At 41.5% G+C, this 19,800-nt stretch overlaps 1 protein-coding gene across 4 annotated transcripts in view, besides 1 other annotated feature; it reads left to right on the top strand.

Moving 5' to 3' along the window:
* Positions 1-19,800, top strand: part of RAB30 (RAB30, member RAS oncogene family) — a 98,765-nt gene that overhangs the window by 52,713 nt on the left and 26,252 nt on the right. The window lies entirely within an intron of this gene.
* Positions 11,259-11,318: an enhancer, noted in NCBI's record as "active region_5341". NCBI's record gives its function as "activates an Ori minimal core promoter by ATAC-STARR-seq in GM12878 lymphoblastoid cells {active_cell/tissue: GM12878}" and the evidence as "EXISTENCE:reporter gene assay evidence [ECO:0000049][PMID:35858748]".

Raw genomic sequence — 19,800 nt, 5'->3', positions numbered from 1 at the left:
CATGGTGGCACATGCCTGTAATTCCAGCTACTCAGGAGGCTGAGGCATGAGAATCACTTGAACCTGGGAGGTGGATGTTGCAGTGAGCCGAGATCATGCCACTGCATTCCAGCCTGGGTGACGGAGTGAGACTCTGTCTCAAAACAAAACAAAACAAAAAGCACAAAAAAACTTTTTACACTCAAATAAAGCCAAATACTTACAGCCAACTGATCTTCAACAAAGCAAACAAAATATAAAGTGGGGTAAGGACACCTTGACAAATGGTGCTGGGATAATTGGCCAGCGACATGTAGAAGAATGAAACTGGATCTTATACAAAAATCAACTCAAGATGGATCAAAGACTTAAGTCTAAGACCTGAAATCATTAAAATTCTAGACAATATCATCAGTAAAACTCTTCTAGATGTTGGCTTAGGCAAAGAGTTCATAGCCAAGAACCCAAAAGCAAATGTAACAAAAACAAAATAAATAGATGGGACCTAATTAAACTAAAAAGCTTCTGCACAGCAAAAGAAATTATCAGCAGAGTAAACAAACAACCCACAGAGTGGGAGAAAATACTCACAAACTATGCATCTGACAAAGGACTAATATCCAGAATCTACAAGGAACTCAAACAAATCAGCAAGAAAAAGAACAAATTAATCTTATCAAAAAGTGGTCAAAGGACATAAATAGACAATTCTCAGAAGAAGATATACAAATGGTCAATAAACATGAAAAAGTGCTCAACATCAGTAATTATCAGGGAAATGCAAATTAAAACCACAATGAGATACCACCTTACTCCTCCGAGAATGGCCATAATTAAAAAATCAAAAAATAGTAAATGTTGGTGCAGATGTGGTGAAAGGAAACATTTTTTTTTTTTTTTTTTTTTTTGAGATGGAGTCTTGCTCTGCAGCCAGCCTAGAGTGCAGTGGCACAATCTTGGCTCACTACAACCTCCGCCTCCCAGGTTCAAGTGATTCTCCTGCCTCAGCCTCCCGAGTAGCTGGGACTACAGGCGCATGCCACCATGCCCAGCTAATTTTTGTATTTTTAGTACAGACAGGGTTTCACTATGTTGGCCAGGATGGTCTCAATCTCCTGACCTTGTGATCCACCTGCCTTGGCCTCCCAAAGTTCTGGGATTACAGGCGTGAGCCACCATGCCCAGTGGAAAATGAAACACTTTTACACTGCTGGTAAGAATGTAAACTAGTACAACCACTATGGAAAACTGTACAGAGATTCCTTAAAAACTAAAAGTAGAACTACCATTTGATCCAGCAATGCCACTACTGGGTATCTACCCAGAGGAAAGTAAGTCATTATATGAAAAAGACACTTGCACACACATGTTTATAGCAGCACAATTCACACTTGTAAAAACATGGAACCAGCTTAAATGCCCATCAACCAATGAGCAGATAAAGAAAATATGGTATATATACACCATGATATACTACTTAGTCATAAAAAGCAATGAAATAATGGCATTTGCAGCAAGCTGGATGGAGTTGGAGATCATTATTCTAAGTGAAATAATTCAGGAATGGAAAATTAAATATCGTATGTTCTCACTTGTAAGTGGGAGCTAAGCTATGAGGATGCAAAGGCATAGGAATGACATGGACTTTGGGGACTTGGGGGGAAAGGTGGGAGGGGGCTGAGGGATAAAAGACTACACATTGGGTACAGTGTACACTGCCTGGGTGATGGGTGCACCAAAATCTCAGAAATTATCACTAAAGATCTTAGCCATGTAACAAAAAACCACCTGTTCCCCAAAAACTATTTAAATAAAAGAAATTTAAAAAAGAAATAAAAATCTCTTTGCTACATTATTATTATTATTTTGATACAGGGTCTCACTCCTGTTGCCCAGGCTGGAGTGCACTGGAACTATCACGGCTCACTGCACCCTCTACTTCCCAGGCTCAAATGATATTCCCACTTCACCCTCTAGTAGCTGGGACTACAGGAGCACGCCAACATGCCCAGCTAATTTTTGTATTTTTTGTGGGAACTTAGTTTTGCCATGTTACTCAGGCTGTTCTCGAACTCCTAGGCTGAAGTAATCTGCCCAACTCAGCCTCCCAGAGTGCTAGGATTACAGGTGTGAGCCACCGTGCCCAGCTTCTATACCTTATTAAGTCACTGAAGAGTTTAGCCCCTCAAGTTTTTCCACTTACATTGCACTGTGATTTTTCCATGTCCCCATCCTCCCCTCCAACTCTTTCTGAACATGAAAGGGCAACCATTGAGGGTCCTGCAGCTAGTAGGACCCCAGCCAGATGTGCACACATAAATGACATTTGAGTGAAAATGCAATAATAGAAGTCTGTGTGAGGAACAGAGGTTGCTTACATTGAAGTGAGAAGGGGGTGTGTGTTTGCATTGGTGCTCCCAAGTTCTCTGAAGCTTCCTTCCGACTCTGTTCTGATTATTTTCAGAGCCTGGAGTTGGGACCTTTTGCAAATGCTGTTGTATATATTACGGTCAATTGTGTAGAAAGAGAATGCACTTGCAAGTCAAAACACCTGGATTAGTGTCCTGGCTTCACTGCCTACCAATGTTATTTGTTAGCCTTGGGCACATTTTTAACTTTTTAAGATTAAGTCTTATAGATCTTTGTAATTTGTAATTAGGCCCCATGTCTCTGCCATCATTAAATTTATCTAATCACTGGATTATTTTCAGTAACAAATAAATATGCTGTAGTATTTCTTATCTGAAAAGAAACCAACCTTCCCAAATTCCCATAACCTTTTAAAATTTTGTCTCTTAAATATTGCAAAATAAATTTATTTTTTAACTTAAAAATCTGTTGACATTATATCCCCTGTAGCTATCTCCTAGTTTCTCTGTTTCTTTTCTCAGAAGCACTTACATAAGTTGTCCATAGTTTTGGTCTGACTTTCTCCTCCACTCCCCCAATTCTAATCTCTTTCTCTCATTTCATCAGGACCGTCCTTGTCTCTGTCAACCAGTGGCCTTCATGTTGCCAAATCTAAGGCCACTTCGTTGTTTTTTTGTTTGTTTGTTTTATTTTGTTTTGAGACAGAGTCTCACTCTGTTGCCCAGGCTGGAGTACAGTGGCATGATCAGAGCTCACTGCATCCTCAACCTCCCTGGCTCAAGCGATCCTCCTGCCTCAGCCTCCTCAGTAGCTGGGACTACAGATACGTGCCACCATGACCAGCTAATTTTTGTATTTTTTGTAGAGATAGGGTTTCGTCATGTTGCCCAAGCTGGTCTCAAACTGCTGGTCTCAAGGGATCTGCCTGCCTCATTCTCCCAAAGTGTTGAGATTACAGGCATGAGCTACCATGCCCAACCCATCTCTTTGTTTTAATCTTAGTTATTCTCTTAGCAGCATTTGACAAGACTGATCACCATTTTCTTTGACACTCTACTTCTTGATTCTCTTCCTACCTCTCTGAGCTTTCTTCAGTCACCTTCTTCCCTCAATCTCTAAATGGTGATATGCCCAGGTTCTGAAATGGCCCTCTTCTCTATTTATCCACTCTCCATAGATATCCTCTGATAATTCAATGGCTTTAAATAACATCCATTTGCTAGTGACCCTCACGTTTGTATCTTTAGCCTCAGACTCTCTCTCTGGAACTTCAGATTCATGTCCACATAGATGTCTGAGAGTCCTTACATTTCCTAACATGGCCAAAAGAGGACTCTTGATTCAGCTCCACTCCAATCTCAGTTTTCCCAATCTTCCCAACTTCAGAAAGTGGTGCCATTATCCCCCCATGTGCTCAAGTCAAATATCTAGGTATTACTTTTCATTTCTTTCTTTCTTTCCCATCCTCTTTCCAATCCTTTAGCAAGTTCTGTCTTCTCTATCTTCAAAAACACTCCAAAATTTATACCCTTCTCTCCATCTCCACTACCAGCACCCTGGTCCAAGCCATATGATCTCTCACCTAGACTATTTGCAGTAGCCTCCTAACTAGTCTTGTTTGTTTCTACTGGTATCCACACCATCATACCCTCCATTATAGAGACTAGAAAAAAATTTTAAAAATGTTAATTGGTTTGTGTCACATTTCTTAAAAGCCTCTACGTGGCCTTACATTGAACTCAGAATGAAATCCAAACTCCTTGCCCTGGCTTTCCAAGCTCTATGTGACCTGTCCCACAGCAGTCTCCCAGTTCTCTTCTTGTTGACCATGTGCTCAGCCTCAGTGTCCCTTCTTTCAGTTCCTTGAACATGCCAAGCTCATTGTCACATAGGGCCCCTGTACTTGCTGATCTCTATGCCTGAAATGTACTTCTTCCATTCTTCATGTGCTTGACTCGCCCCTTCCTTCCTTCCTCTTTCTTTTCTTCCTTTCCTTTCCTTTCCCTTCTCTCTTCCTTCCTTCCTTCCTGCCTCCCTCCCTCCCCTTCTCTTTCTTTCTTTCTCTTTCTTTCTCTCTCTTTCATTCTTTTTCTTTCTTATTTCTTTTTCTCCTTGCCTCCATCCTTCCTTCCTTCCTTTCTCTTTCTTTCTTTCTTTCTTTCTTTCTTTCTTTCTTTCTTTCTTTCTTTCTTTCTTTCTTTTTCTTACTTCTTTCTTTCTTTGTCTCTCTCTGCCTCTGCCTCTCTCTTTCTTTTCTTCTGTCTCCCCCTGTCTCTCTTTCCTTTCAAAAGGAAAGAGGTCTTAGTCTGTTGCCTTGATTGGAGTGCACTGGCATCATCAAAGCTCACTGCAGCCTTGACCTCCTGGGCACAAGGGACCCATCTGCCTCAGCTCTGAGTAGCTGGGACTACAGGTGTGTACCACCACATCCAGCTAATTTTTAAATTTTTTGTAGAGATGAGGTCTCACTGTGTTGTCCAGTCTGGTCTTAAACTCCTGGTCTCAAGTGTTCCTTCTGCCTTAGCCTCCCAGAGTGCTGGGATTACAGGTGTGAACCACCAAGCCTGGTCTGGCTCTTTCTTATTCAATTCTCATCTTAAATATACCCACTTCAGAGAGAACTTCTGTGACAGCTATCCAGTCTTTTCCTCCTGTTTTAATTCTCTACTAGCACTTATCACTGTCTGATACTTTTCTTGTTTATTTGTGTATATGCTTATTTTCCCATTCATTCATTCATTGCTCTATTTTTATGCTGTATGAGAGGGGGAACTTGTCTTCTTGTTCATCATGGTATCCCCTGCTTCTGGATATGTGACTTGCACATAGTAGATGCCCAGTACAAATGTATGAAATGAGTGAATGTTTTTCTCACCTGTAAAATGGAGAGGCCAACACTTATGTCTCAGAGTTGTTGAGGACTTGCATTATTTAATTTGATAATGCAGGTAAAGTGGATAGGTCTGTGTCTAGCACATTGTTTTTATAGAAACTATTATTTTCTAAGTATCTGGCTTATTGTAGACATGCAATAAAGGTTAGTTCTCTTTCTTTATTTCTTGCAGTCTGGATCTCCTGCAGTATTTTATATTTAATTGACCTGCACTTTGGGTCCTCCAACGCACACAGAGACACTGCATTGTAGCAAGGTTTGACTTTCTCTTGGGAAATTATAGTTTTCTTCTCTTTGGTTATATGATCTTTGCCAATTAACTCTCCTTAAGATCAAATTGCTTTGGGGTTTGATTTCCTCATCATAGTGTTTAGTTTCTCTGAAAAGCACTCTCAGCTTTTGTGTGTACTGATCAGTTTTTCTTTTGCATTTATTTAATATTTAGTCTACTGAAATGTCAGGCGATGAGAATACAGATAGGAATTTGCAGGAGCCTCTGTCCTTAAGGCCTAGTGGAGGAAACAGGATACATAAACCAACAAGAATAATAAAGTGTCTGGCCAGGCGCAGTGGCTTATGCCTGTAATCCCAGCACTTTGGGAGGCCGAGGCAGGTGAATCACTTGAGGTCAGGAGTTTGAGACCAGCCTGGCCAACGTGGTGAAACCCCTGTCTCTACTAAAAATACAAAAATTAGCCAGGCATGGTAGTGCATGCCTATAATTCCAACTACTAGGGAAGCTGAGGCAGGAGAATTTATTGAACCCAGGAGGCGGAGGTTGCAGTGACCCGAAATCACACCATTGCACTCCAGCCTGGGGAACAGAGTGAGACTCTGTCTCAAAATAATAAAAATAAAAATGAAAATAAATTTTAAAAAAAAGTGTCTATGGAGAAACTCTGCAGAACATAGAGGAGGCACAAAGTAGAGAGTGACCAATTCACAGGGAGGGTGGGGGTATGGTTTGAGAGATAATTGGTTGTTTACCACCCAATAAAGAGAGATGAGCCCTGTGAGTAAAGGTGTGAAGGGATGAACCTGTCTAGGGGCCCATGCTCTGGGAACTTGGCAAGACTGCGTGATCATAGCGGTAGTCATAGTGGTAACAGGTCATGAGAAGCAAAGCCTGAAAGATACGAGGTGCTGGGCTGTGGAGGGCTCTGCATGCCCTGCTGGAGAATTTGAACTTTCGCCCAACAATAACAATAACAGTAGCAGCACCTAACATTTACTGAGCACTTCCTCTTTGCCAGGCCCTCTTCTTTGTACTTTATTGTATTAATTCCTTTAATCTGCACAACGGTCCTATGGGGTAAGTACTGTTATTATCCCTATTTGTAAATAAATACACATAGGATAGGTATTGAATTTGTTCTTAAAAATAATAATAAATAAATAAATGTAGGCACCAAGAGGACAAGGAACTTGCCCAGGGTCACCCAACTCATAAAGAGCATTCAGAGCATTCAGAAAGAGCAGTCTGAGGATTCAGACTCAGGCAGTGTGGCTCCAAAGTTTGCCCTCTTAACCAGGGCACTGTACTACTTCTTACAGACAACTTTGTGGGGGCAGCCAGAGCCCTGGAAGAGTTTTAAGTGTGGGAATGACATGATTAGATTAGTTCTTTGGAGAGGCTGCAGTGGAGTCGCATTGCATCTTGTACAAGTGTTCATTTCTAAAAGCATTGGAGGCAAAAAATGCCAAGTTCCATTTCTTCTTGCCTCTGAGTGAGGTTTGCTATGCTAGTGGTGGCGTACCACATCTTAGGCAGTCCAACACAGCAGCTTTTTTCCTCTATCCTTAGAACAGAGGACAGAGTCTTTGGAAGACATGCATATAATAGATGAATCATCAGTTTGTGTTGAGGGACTCTTTTGTTTGAAAAGCACAAAAGTATCACACTCCTGCAGAAACTGAGCCCCTCAGTGGTGACAACAGACTCAGCCTCCCCTCATTTAGTGCATATCCAAGCCTGTGCGTTGCTTAGATAGTGTTTTTCCCTGCCCTTGTTTCTCTCTCTAGAGAAGTCCATAGTGATATGGGTGCACATTAGGCCTGTGATGGTCTGCATTGCATTTGGCAGCAGAATGGAAGAAGGACAGCCTGCAAGTGGGGAGGCAGGAAGAAGGCAGGGAAAACAAGCAGAACACAGCAGCTGCTGCCCAGCTACCAGAGTCTGGCCTTGGTGAAGGGCAGGGCAGGAGGCCAGGAGAGTAAGGGTATGAGAAATGTAAAGAAAGTTAAATATTCTGGACCTAATGACCAATTGAATTGGTTTCCTTCAACTTTCTTCTGATCTGAAAACTTAGTACATCATTGTATCTTCTTGTTTTCAGTCTGTTAAATGCCTTTCTAATTCCAACTACATTATTCAGTCTTCCAGCTTTAATACACAGTACTCGCCATGTTCTTGGCTTATGGCTACTGAAATAGACCTAAGAGTCATCTACAGGTGTTAGGAACCTTGATTGGTCCATTTATTTTGTCATAGTGGTACAATATTCTCTTTTTTACTTACAAACTGACATTATGTGGGGTCTCTTGATAGCCACCATTATGTTATAGTACAAGATTTATATTAAGTTCTCTGGTTTCTCAAAATTGAAATGATTTTGTAACTGCTTTAAAGAAATGTTGATGCGATTACAACAACGATCAAAACAAAACCAAACCAGCCAGTACATGGGAAAAAGAAACTAGGAGAAACACATCAAAATGTTGACAGTGATTGCATTTGTATTGGCAATTTTATTTTTCCCTTTTCTGTGTTTCCAAAGTTCTGAAAATGTGTCTATGGTACATACAAAATGTTAACAACTTGTTTTTTAAAAAATAACAAACTTCAAAAATAAAAGGTCTCTGTAATCTCATAATTCTAGCATAACACATTTTTACTTTTGAAATGCCCTTGTTGATATACATGTGTATTTTTCATAGCTGCAGTCCTGACAAATGCAGCTTTGCAAATTCTTTTCATTTTACAGCCTATTGTCAACATTATTTCATTTTTCTACACAGTTTTCATAATTGGCATTTCTAATGGCTGCCTTGCATCCCATGGTGTTGATGTTCTATATGGAACTTTCCTTTGGACATTTTGATTGTTTCTAGTTCTTTACTGTTTTAGATAAGAGGTAATGAGTATTTTTGTTCATTTGGCATTTTGGGTTCGTTCAGTTATTTCCCTAAAGTGAATTCTCAGCAGTGAGCTAACTGCATGAAAGGTTTGGATTCTTTTATGGCTTTTGGTATGTGCCAAGTAAGACCCTGCCTTCTGGAAGAGCCCATTGAATGTGGATGGTCACTGGCTTCATATATGTGTACCTGTCCCATGTTTCCCTCCCCACTATTGAGCCCCTAAGATATTTTAATAATGTGCATTGGAAAAGATATAAATATGAAAAAAAGGAAATAAGCTATTCATAATCTCACCACCCAGAGGTAAGAATTTTAAAAATTTATTTCCTTCTAAGTATTTATTTATTTATTTTTGTTTTTTAGAGACAGGATTTCACTCTGTCTGGAGTGCAATGGCGTGATCACAGTTCACAGTAATGCCTAACTTCTAGGCTCAAGAGATCTTCCCACATCAGCCTCCTGAGTAGCTAGGAGCATAGACATATGACACCACACCTGGCTAATTTTTAAATTTCTTGTAGAGGTTGGGTCTTGCTGTGTTGCCTGGGCTGGTCTCAAACTCCTGGCCTCAAGCGATCCTTCCTTCTTGCCCTCCCAAAGCACTGGGATAACAGGCACAAGCCACCACGCCCAGTCCAAGTATTTATTTCATAATGCTGTATCATGTGGCTTCTCTGTTAGCCCTTCTCTATTGGTATATAGAGGTTTTACTTCTCCCTCCATCTTGGGGGTCATCTTAGCCAGATGTGGTGGCCCACACCTGTAATCCCAGCACTTTGAAAGTCCAAGGCAGGAGGATCACTTGAGGGCAGGAGTTCAAGACCAGCCTGGACAACATAGTGAGACCACATCTCTACAGAAAGTAAAAGTAAGTAAATAGGTAAATCTTTGTGCACATTTAGGAAGCATTCTGTAGGAAAATTCCCAGAAGCAGAATTTTCCTCTTGCTGGGTTGAAGTGTGTGGACCTTGTGAAGGCTTTTGATGAGTATTGAAAGGCTTTTGATGAGTATTGAAAAGTTGCTATTGAGGAAAGTTGTGCCTCTTTCTACTTCACCTGTTAATGTTTGGATGCCATTCCTGCCTTCAGTAGGTTAACACCAGTGGCCATTTATTTATCTGTTTATCTTGAAATAAGTTTGGACCTCTCTGGTCTTTTGTTATTTGTTTTTATTTTATTTTATTTTATTTTATTTATTTTTGGTGTTTTTGGCTCCCTGGGCATGTTGTTCCTGGGATTAAAATCCCAGAATTTATATTTTCTTTAGGATTTCCCTCAGGTTCCATCTGTTGCTAAATTTTACACATCCACATCTTCCACCCAGCTCTCAAACTGTACCCTGCAGCATGGTTACAGAATTCTTGATTTCATAGACTTTTTGAAATCTGGAACTCTTTGAAAGAGACTACTTATTTTGGCTTAAAAATTTCCCCGTTTTTGGCCGGGCGCGGTGGCTCACGCCTGTAATTCCAGCACTTTGGGAGGCCGAGGCGGGCGGATTGCCTGAGGTCAGAAGTTTGAGAACAGCCTGGCGAACATGGTGAAACCCAGTCTCTACTAAAAATATGAAAATTAGCCAGGCATGGTGGCGGGTGCCTGTAATCCCAGCTACTTGGGAGGCTGAGACAGAATTGCTTGAACCTGGGGTGTGGAGGTTGCAGTGAGCTGGGATCTCACCATTGTACTTCAGCCTGGGTGATGAGAAACTCTGCTCAAAAAAAAAAAAAAGGTTTCCCGCTTTTTGGCCATTTCTTTAATAAATACTTGTTGAATTCAACTTTAAGGAGCTCAGGGTTCATTGTTATGTGATGGAGTCTAACGTATATGGGAATTGAAGAGAGGTGAATTTGGGCCAGATTATGAAGAGCCTTGTTACACCATCCTACCTAAGGAGTTGAACTGCATCCTCAAGGCTGATAATTAGTTGGCACTTTTGGGAAAACACTTCGTAGACTGGCTGCAGGGAGCCTGGTTAGAAGTCCACAGTAGGCTGGGTGGGGGAGAGCTGACTAGTCCCTGAGCCATGTTGGTGCAGTGGGGACAGGGGTTAAGCAGGGGTGTATTCAAGCAGGCCTTGGTGACAGATAGGTTATGGTATGCTGTGTGAGTGTGTGTGCATGTGTGTGCGTCCATCCCTGCTGAGGGAAAATTTGTACCCTATCTTCTGCATAAGAATTTGCCATGATACAGGAATTTGCCAGGATAATGCACTGGAAAACACTTAGGAAACTAAAAGTGCTCTATAGATGTAAAAACATTGATAGTAACAGTATGTAAGAAATTCTGCCCAATGGGGTTGATTCAAGGATGCAATAATGGCCTGGTGTGTGTAAAGCTCTAGACAAGTAGTCATTCTTTTGCTTGACACAGGACCTGTCACAAACTTGGGAGAGTTCTTTTTTTGTCTTCATCTATTCAGGTTGCTGAGCATGTGGACACTTGCTTCCCTCTCACTTTTTCTCCTGCTTCCAGTGAGGAGGGAATCTGAACAGCTGAAGGAGGGGTCCAGCCTAGTGTGACAGTCTTCCAACAGGGAGAAGACATCTCTGTTCCTGGTAGGCCTCTGATCTCCGGGGCAGAGGACCATCAGGGGAAAGACTTGAGCCCAGTTCTGAGCCGTGGCCCTGACCTCTGGCTCCCTGGCCAGGCTGCTTTGTGTGTTCAGCCCGGTGGGAGGAGACTGAATAAGCTGATAAGAAGGTTCTTCCGGTCCAGCCAAGCAGGCGCAGGGAAGCTTCTGCAGAGGAAAGATTAGACACGGTCCCTGATTTAGAGAATACAAGGGGGAAGGCAATGGGGCAAAGCCCAGAGCTCTTTGCAGTGGTATTGTTTATTGTTGGAGGAGGACAACAGAGGGAGCCCCACCTGCTTGTGCAGAAGACAGAAACAGCAAGTTGGGTCTGCAAGTGCCTTTTTTAGGGCAGTTTAACAAACATGTTTTGCAGACAGAAGTCTCCAACTTGGAAGGGGGTCGATGAGTGGGAAGGGTATCCTTTTTCTTCCCCCAGGAAACAAAGCAGGAGTATTTCCAGGCACATCTGAGCCTCTTTGTCAAGCACCTGCTCCCAGGTGCTGTGGTACGAAACAAATTAGCCCCGCCTGGGGAGTTAACTGAGTGGGTCCTAAGCGGTGGCCTCTTCCCTTCTCTTCTCACCTATATGTGGAAAACCAAATCTGTGCTTAGTGTAGGGATGCTCCCCATGGCCAGCTTCTCACTATGGCAGAAAGAGCACCAGAAGATAATTCAGGTGTTTGCTTGGGTTAATGCTGATGAAATGCTGCTTTGTGGAATCATTCTCATGTTTGGAATCCCAAATCCGTTTTGTATTTCTAGGAATTAGGAAAATATCAAACATAATATATGAAGAATAAAATAAAATATTTGATTGTCTTGATTTTTGAAAATAGTATTATGGAGGTCTCAGGCCTGCTTTATTTTTCATTTTCATTTTTACTTTTTGCATATCTTGAAAAGTATTCTAAGGGCTGCTTCTGAGCTCCTTCCTCCTAACTCCACCCCCAATCCATGGCATGTGTTCATGCCAGCCACCCCTGACAGTTTTGTCTGTGGCCTTGCCCAATGGAGATTTATATGTGCAGATCTTATTTGTCCTGGCAGCAGCTCTGATTTGGAGTCAGGGGACCTGTGTTTGCTCTTCTGGCTCTGTTGCTTACATGCTGCGTGGCCTGAGGCAAGTCACTATCTTGGTTTCAAATCTCATTTCTGTAAAATGGGGAGAAAAAGATGAGCTCCTTCTGCTTCCTCAGAAATGTTCTGTGTCAGAGTGAAGTGAGAGTAATTTCTAAGCTGTAAGAATGTGTGAGAGTTTTGTTTTTATTCATGACACAAGCAAGCTATTGTTTGATCCATTGGTTTTGGCTGCCATACTGTGGATACTTGGTTTTGAGGGAAGTTGGTCTGAAAGAATGAATCCTCCTTGTAGAGACTCACTGTGCTGAGACATGGTTTAGAGAAAGCAGTGATACACACAATGAACTGGAAAAGCAACTCCAGAGTCTGGGTGGGACATTCCTTCCTGGGGTCCCTGTCCCATGAAGGGGTGCAGCTGGGCAAAGAGAAAGACACAAAGATTGAAACAGAGTACCCCAAATAGATTTTTTTTTAAACAGGGCCTCTCTCCCTGTATTAGGAAAACTGTCTTGCTTTTGAAGCACTACTATAGACTGAATAAAAAGGCAGAGTATAATTTAAGAGTTGGAGGTTATCTTCTTTCCTAGAAAGAGCTAAATATTATAGCCTCCCCAGGGGCAACTACTGTTGCCAGTTTCTTTTGTGTCATTCCAAAAATATCTTGTGCCTATACAGATATAGAATCATATGCCCCCGCCCTTTCTTCATACTGTAAACACACCATTCTTTGCCTTGCTTCTTTCATTTAATACATCTTGCAGATATCCATAGCAGGCTGTGTGGTGGTCCATTGTTGTATGGCTACCTTAATCTATATAACCATTTTCTGCTAATGGACTTTTAGGTTGTTTTTATAATTGCTATTCCAAATACTGTTGTAATAAATATCCTACTACATGTGCCTTTGTGAGTATAAATGTGATAGATTCCTAGAAGTGCAATTGCTGGGTCAGAGGGTTTGTAATAGCGTTTTTAGCTTTAAATCAATAGTGCTCTCCATAGAGGTTGCATTGATTTACCTCCCACCAGTAGTATACAAGTGCCCCATTTCTCCATAGTGTCACCAGTACAGGATAAACTTGGCCAATCTGAGATGAATGGCCTCTTATTATAACTACATATAGTTAAAATTATAATTTATAAGTATAAATTTACTATAGTTTGAATTTACTTTTGTAAGATTGATCAGTTTTTTAAAAAAAAAAATGTAAGTGCTATTTTTATTCCTTTCTTGTGAATTATCTGCTCATGTCCTTAGCCTATTTTTTCTAGTCGGTTATTGAATTTTTCTTATTCATTTTGTAGGAACTTTTTATGCATGTAATCAATTAGACCTTAATAATATATATTGCAGTCAGTTCTTCATTTTTATTGTTTTGCCATACAGAATTTTTGAAACATTTAGTGAAATTTCTCAGCCTTTTTACTTTATAGCCTTGATTTTGAGTAATTCTTAGAAAGCCTTCTCTACTTTAAGGTTTTATATATATGTATATATATAATGTTTTCTTCTAGTACTTTTATGCCTTCAGTTTTTTAGATCCAAACTTTGAATCCATCCAGAATTTATTTTAGTATAAGGAGTGAGACAGACCTCCAACTTAATTTTTTTCCACAAAGACCTGGGTTTTGAATCCAGGCACTTTTACTCATTAGCTGTTTGATTTTTGAACTAATTAATCTCTCTGAACCTCAGTTTTCTTATCTGTATAATGGGAATATTAATACCCATTTGATGGCCTACTGAAAAGATTAAATAAGATTACATGTGGAAAACATTTAGCACCGTTCCTAGCACACAGTGTGTTCAAATCATGGTCCAAATGGCCAGGAACCTGGGGACACATAGTGTGTTCTGGCAGAGGAGAAATTCTAGGTAGCCAGGATACAGAGGCCACCTTGTGACTCACCAGTGTGTCAGAGTAAGTAAGTCACTTCATTACCTAAACCCTCAGTTTCCTCACTTGCAGAATGAATGATTAGAGCTTTCTCTTGAGGTTGTTGGGAGGTCCAGATTAGATAATGTCTGTGAAAGAATTTTGTAAACTATAAAGGGCAATGTAAAAATGCTGGAGTTTACAGTCTGGTGAATAAGGAGCAGCCACAGCACAGGTGGGTGTTTGACATTTGTGGCCAAGGAGAATAATTAACTTGCAATAACATGAAATTAGCAGCTGATGTAAAGCAAGTGAGCTTGTAGCAGTTGATTATAGTAATGGTTAGTAATTGCCTCCTAGTAATTAAGCAATAATGAGCTTCCAGGGACAGAACCTTGTTAGGCGGAAAGATGGATGAAAGGCTTTCAATTCAGTGTACACTTACTGAACACAGCAGTGGGACAAGCAGAGACAGGTGTCTTGTTGAGGTACAGTCTTTGTCCTTAAGGATAGTAGGGGGTGAGAGACACATAAAGCATGGCTCCTTCCATGGGCCTGACACACATGTGGGGATATACTTGGAGGAAGGTCCACAGTGCTCTGGGATCATCAAAGAGGGTGAGATTCACCTGCTGAGCCCCCGTGCCAGTCTGAACCCACCCTCCAGAGTCTGACCCAGATTCTAAAGAACCCCTATGATGCCTTCTTGAAGTTTTACTTGCCCTTTTTTATTCCTCTGGTTGTTTTGGATTTATCAGGGATATCTTGTTTCTCATGCCCTGCCCATCGCCCTCCACAGCTTCTGGGCAAGCATGGTGTTATGCCTAGGGCCTCTATTTCTACTGTGACCTGAGTACTCAGATGGGATGTCCAGTTCATTTTGAATTTCAGGTAAACAACAAACTTTAAAATATGTCTCATGCAATATTTGGAACAAATTTATATTAAAGTGTATTTGTTGACATCTGACCATCTGAAACTGAAATTTGACATGGTCAGGGTGATATGACCTGGATTTCTTATTATTTATTTTTAAAAAACTATATCTGGCAACCCTACCTGGGCAGCTCTTATTTCAAATGCTATAAAATATAATAGTGTTTACTACACTAATGTTTCATGGAGCCCTAGTAGCAAGGCATATATAAAAGGTGTTTTATATGAGAAAAGAATTCTCAGCTAAAATCATGTTTGGTAAATCCTGTGTTAAATGAAGTTAACTGGCCTTCATTATGGGAATTTTCAGAACATTTTAAACCTCCAAGATTGGGTGATAGTATTTAATATTTCTCAAAGTTATGTTACTGTGAAGCTATCCTCTACATCCCCCACTTACTGAGTATCTAGGGTCATATGAACAAATGTTGAATAAATTTTGAGGGTCTCTGGTAATCGGTTCTATTTGCAGACCATGAGTTCTGATTTTGGGTTTTGGGAAAATACCATTCTATAGAAAAAAATTTATATAATTCTATGATGCTGTTTTTTTTTTAAATTAACAAATTTGTAATAAAATATACACATAGACACGAGTGTATATAAAGAAAAAGACTAGAGCCAGGTGTGGTGGCTCATGCCTATAATCCCAGCACTTTGGGAGGCTGAGGTGCGTGGATCACCTGAGGCTGGGAGTTTGAGACCAGTCTGACCAACATGGAGAAACCCCGTCTCTACTAAAAACACAAATTACCCAGGCATGGTGGTGCATGCCTGTAATCCCAGCTACTGGGGAGGCTGAGGCAGGAGAATCGCTTGAACCCAGGAGGCAGAGGTTGCGGTGAGCCGAGATCGCGCCATTGCACTCCAGCCTGGGCAACAGGAGCAAAATTCCGTCTAAAAAAAAGAAAAAAGAAAAAGACTAGGAGGATATATACCAGAATGCTAACTGTAATTATTCCCCAGAGAAGGTCTGGGTAGGGAAAGAGATGATAGATGATTTTCTTTTCCTTTTTGCTTGTCTGTATTTTCTGCAATCAATATATATGACTTTTGTCAGAATGGTGGGAAAAACCATTTATATATTTTTAAAAGGAGTACCTTTCCATATATTATCTTATTTGCCTCTCACGTAACTCACTGGTATAGATTCTAATATCATCCCCATTTTATGGATGAGGAAACCACACAGTGCTCTCTAACAGATCCAGGCCCTCTTACTTCATCGCCTATGCTGCCTCTTTGATATGGAAGCATAACCACACTTGCTGTTGTGGGAAGGGGCCTTGTTGCCTGTTTACCCAGCCCCTCCATTTACAGACCAAGTCAAGGCCCAAAGGACCTGCCTGAGACACACAGTTTTTGAATAAGGACAAGTCACCAAAATATTTTAGGGGACTAGGGTTTGGAGGTGTGTCAGAAAGTTGGGGAGAAGACCTGGCCTCTGACTTTATCTGTTATATTGAGCCCCAAAGGGAAAGAGGAAAAATGCACAGGTGTGCAACAGTGAATACAGGCTTTTTTAAGGCCACTTATTCATTTATTTATCGACAGAGTCCCACTCTGTTGCTCAGGGTGGAATGCAGCAGTGTGATCATGAGTCACTGCAAACTTGAACTCCTGGGCTCAAATGATCCTCAGCCTCCCAAAGTGCTAGGGTTACAGGCGTGAGCCACCACGCCTGGTAAAGGCCACTTTTAAAGAATGGTTTAAATGTTGCCAAATTCACATTGCTTACAGTGGTTTTTGTTTTTCTTTTTAAGCTTTTCATACTAGATTTCTTTTCCTGTATCTTTTTAAAATTCATTTTTTCATCTTGCTTATCTATTTTTCCAGTTTGAATCTTATCCATATATCCACTTATTTACAACTATTGTGGTGACAATGATATTGGGGATTTTGCTTGCTCATCTGTGCTCCTGTTTATATTCCCTATGCCTGGTACTTAGTTACAGGGATGAATGATGACTGAATTGTGAGAGTGATGCAGCTAAAGTGTGACTTCAGGTCCTGAAAGAATCCTGGGCTGGAGGGCACGGTGAGGAGCAGCGCTTGTGTAATCTGAAGTCAGTGTCTGGCTCCATCAGTGTGGGTGTGTTGCTTCCGGAGCAGGGAGATTCTAGAACACTGTAGTTCAAAGGGCCTGGGGACTCATTCAACTGAGCCTCTAGCCCTCATGACAGAGAGACAATGTCAATTACAAGGCAGGGGGTAGCAGCATCCTGTTGCAGAAAGAACTAGGCTTTGGGGTCAGATGGATCTAGGTTTGAATCCTGTTCCTGAGACTAACTAGCTGTGTGATTTTAGGATGATATCTCTGTCTCAGCTTCCTCTTCTGCAAGTTAGGGATAATAATATGAGTACTTACATCATAGAGTTATGAGGATTAAATGAGCAAATACATGTAGAAGAGTACCCAGGACATAAAAAGCACTGAATAAGTGCCAGCTGTTATCAATGTTAACAATAATAGAATATAAAATACTGCAGTAGTGTTTGGTAGTAGCATATCTTGTGGCGTGTCTACTCCCTAGATGAGGCATGACTTTTGTTGTCAATTTAGGGCTGGGTGTAAATGCTTTTGAATGGGTTTCCCTTATTCAGGGGGAAACGCTGTCTCATCACATGGGGATTGGTGATGCCTGGGCTGTTACTTTATGTACCAAACAGAAGGGCTTCGTCAAAGAGTAGAAGTTTGCAGATAATCTTGTGATCTTTTCATTCAGTAATGTGTTTTCCATTAGAAGCAAAACAGTAACTACAACAGATTACCTGGAGTTTACAGTCCAGCTTTACACATAGACAGCCTGCATTATTAAAGACCAATTTTTACCCAGAGGTCCATTTAAAAAACATGCAACGTCTTGGCGTGGTGGCTCATGCCTGTAATCCCAGCACTTTGGAAGGCTGAGTGGAAGGACTGATTGAGGCCAGGAGTTCAGGACAAGCCCTGGGTAACATAGTGAGACCCTGTCTCTACAAAAAAAATTTAAAAAATTAGCTGGGCACAGTGGCTTGTGTCTGTAATCCCAGCTACTTGGGAGGCTGAGGCAGGAGGATCACTTGATCCATGATCGCGCCACTGCACTCTAGTGTGGGCAACAGAGCAAGATCCTGTCTCAAAAACAAAAGAAAGCAAAACAAACAAACAAAAACACATTCAACAGAGCATTAGAGTAATTTCTTATAGAAAGGGGTAGTGTCTTAACTTATTCTGTAGCTTGCTCCAGGTGGTAACCACATGAGATAATGTTCACCATGACAAAGCCTTTTTTTTTTTTTTTTTTTTTTTTGAGACGGAGTCTCGTTCTGTCGCCCAGGCGGGAGTGCTGTGGCGCGATCTCAGCTCACTGCAAGCTCTGCCTTCTGGGTTCACGCCATTCTCCTACCTCAGCCTCCCGAGTAGCTGGGACTACAGGCGCCCGCCACTGCGCCCGGCTAATTTTTTGTATTTTTTTTTTTAGTAGAGACGGGGTTTCACCGTGGTCTCGATCTCCTGACCTCGTGATCCGCCCGCCTCGGCCTCCCAAAGTGCTGGGATTACAGGCGTGAGCCACCGCGCCCGGCCGACAAAGCCTTTTTTTCACCTTCTTTTTCTAAAGGTGCATAATTTGGGCACCGTTAACTTTCTTTAAGAGCCCTGTTTCTAAAGTCTTTACTTTTGACATTCTCCTCTGGATTTCCTGCTTTGGTTCTTTGACCTCCAGCAAAGATGTAGAAATGAGTGTGTGTCAAACAATCTAGGCACAGAAAAAGAATGCAGTCCAGTCCTGTGTTTCCTGTTTCTTATGGGCTTATGAAAGCAGAGAGTTGTGGTCCACAGAGCCTCATGCCTTCCTGCTGTCCATGTGCCTTCCGTGAGTTTTATTATTTTTCTTTCTAATAGCGTTATTGAATTTTAGTTTATATATCATGTCCCTGAGTGTTTATCAGGAGTTTGACTTTGATTCTTATTTAAACTTCTACAGGGTGGTAGAGTTTTATATTTGAAGCCAGAGGTGAAGAGGAAAGGGTGATCACATTGATTAAGTGCTTGCCTTCATCATGTAATTCATCCATCTTTCTTGAGCTTTTGCTCTGAGCCAGCATTGTGAAAGGCACTTGGGTAGTGGTTCAAGGACATGAATGTGACAGCCAGATTATCTGGGTATGAATCTCAGCTCCACTAGTTACCAGCTGTGGGACCTTACGACTGCTTTTTTAACTTCTCTTGTGTCTCAGCAGCCCCCTCTACCAAATTAGGATACTAATAGTATAGCGTCCCCCTCATAGGGTTGTTTTGAGATTAAGTGACTTAATAATATAGAATGAGATGATGATGATGGGGAGGGGTTAGGATCTGGACTCAACCTGACACGTCACTGCTCTCATGCTGCTCACAGTCATGAGTGTACATGTGTGTAGGGCTGAGGTGCTGAGGATGGGGCCAGAGTGTGAGATATGTGAATAATTAATTACAGGTAGCATGGTGAGTTTATAGCAGGAAAGGAGGTCATTGTGGGAGCCTAGAGCAGGGAGGCCCAGGACCTTCGTAGGTCAGAGGAGCAGACTGGAGGAAGTCATGTTGAAGCTGAGATCTCAGGGAGGCTTGGGGTGGTGGGGGAGGGTGCGAGGTTCAGTTGTGTTTTGTGTTCTAGGCAGATGGAACAATATATGTGAAGGTCTAAGGAGAAAAGCAATCCCATGGTATTTAAGTAACTGAGGAAATCCAGTGAGCCTAGAATGTGGATTATGAGGAGAGTGGTAGGAGACAGAGCTGGCAGTGACAGCAGGAACCAGATCATGGAAAATTTGAGAATCCTTTTAAGGAGTTTGGGTGACAAAGAGCCAGGTACTGCCCTTAGGGGCTCCCATTCATTCTTTCATGCATCACAGTTCTGTGGTATAGGTGTTATTGGCCCCATTTTGTTGATGGGGAAGCTGAGGCTTTGAAAAATTGTCATTTGCCCAAAGGC

The sequence above is a fragment of the Homo sapiens genome, chromosome 11 (genome assembly GCF_000001405.40).
Source record: "Homo sapiens chromosome 11, GRCh38.p14 Primary Assembly".
NCBI lineage: Eukaryota > Metazoa > Chordata > Mammalia > Primates > Hominidae > Homo > Homo sapiens.
The sequence above is the reverse complement of the archived record's forward strand: the minus strand, read 5'-3'. Positions and strand labels throughout refer to the sequence as shown.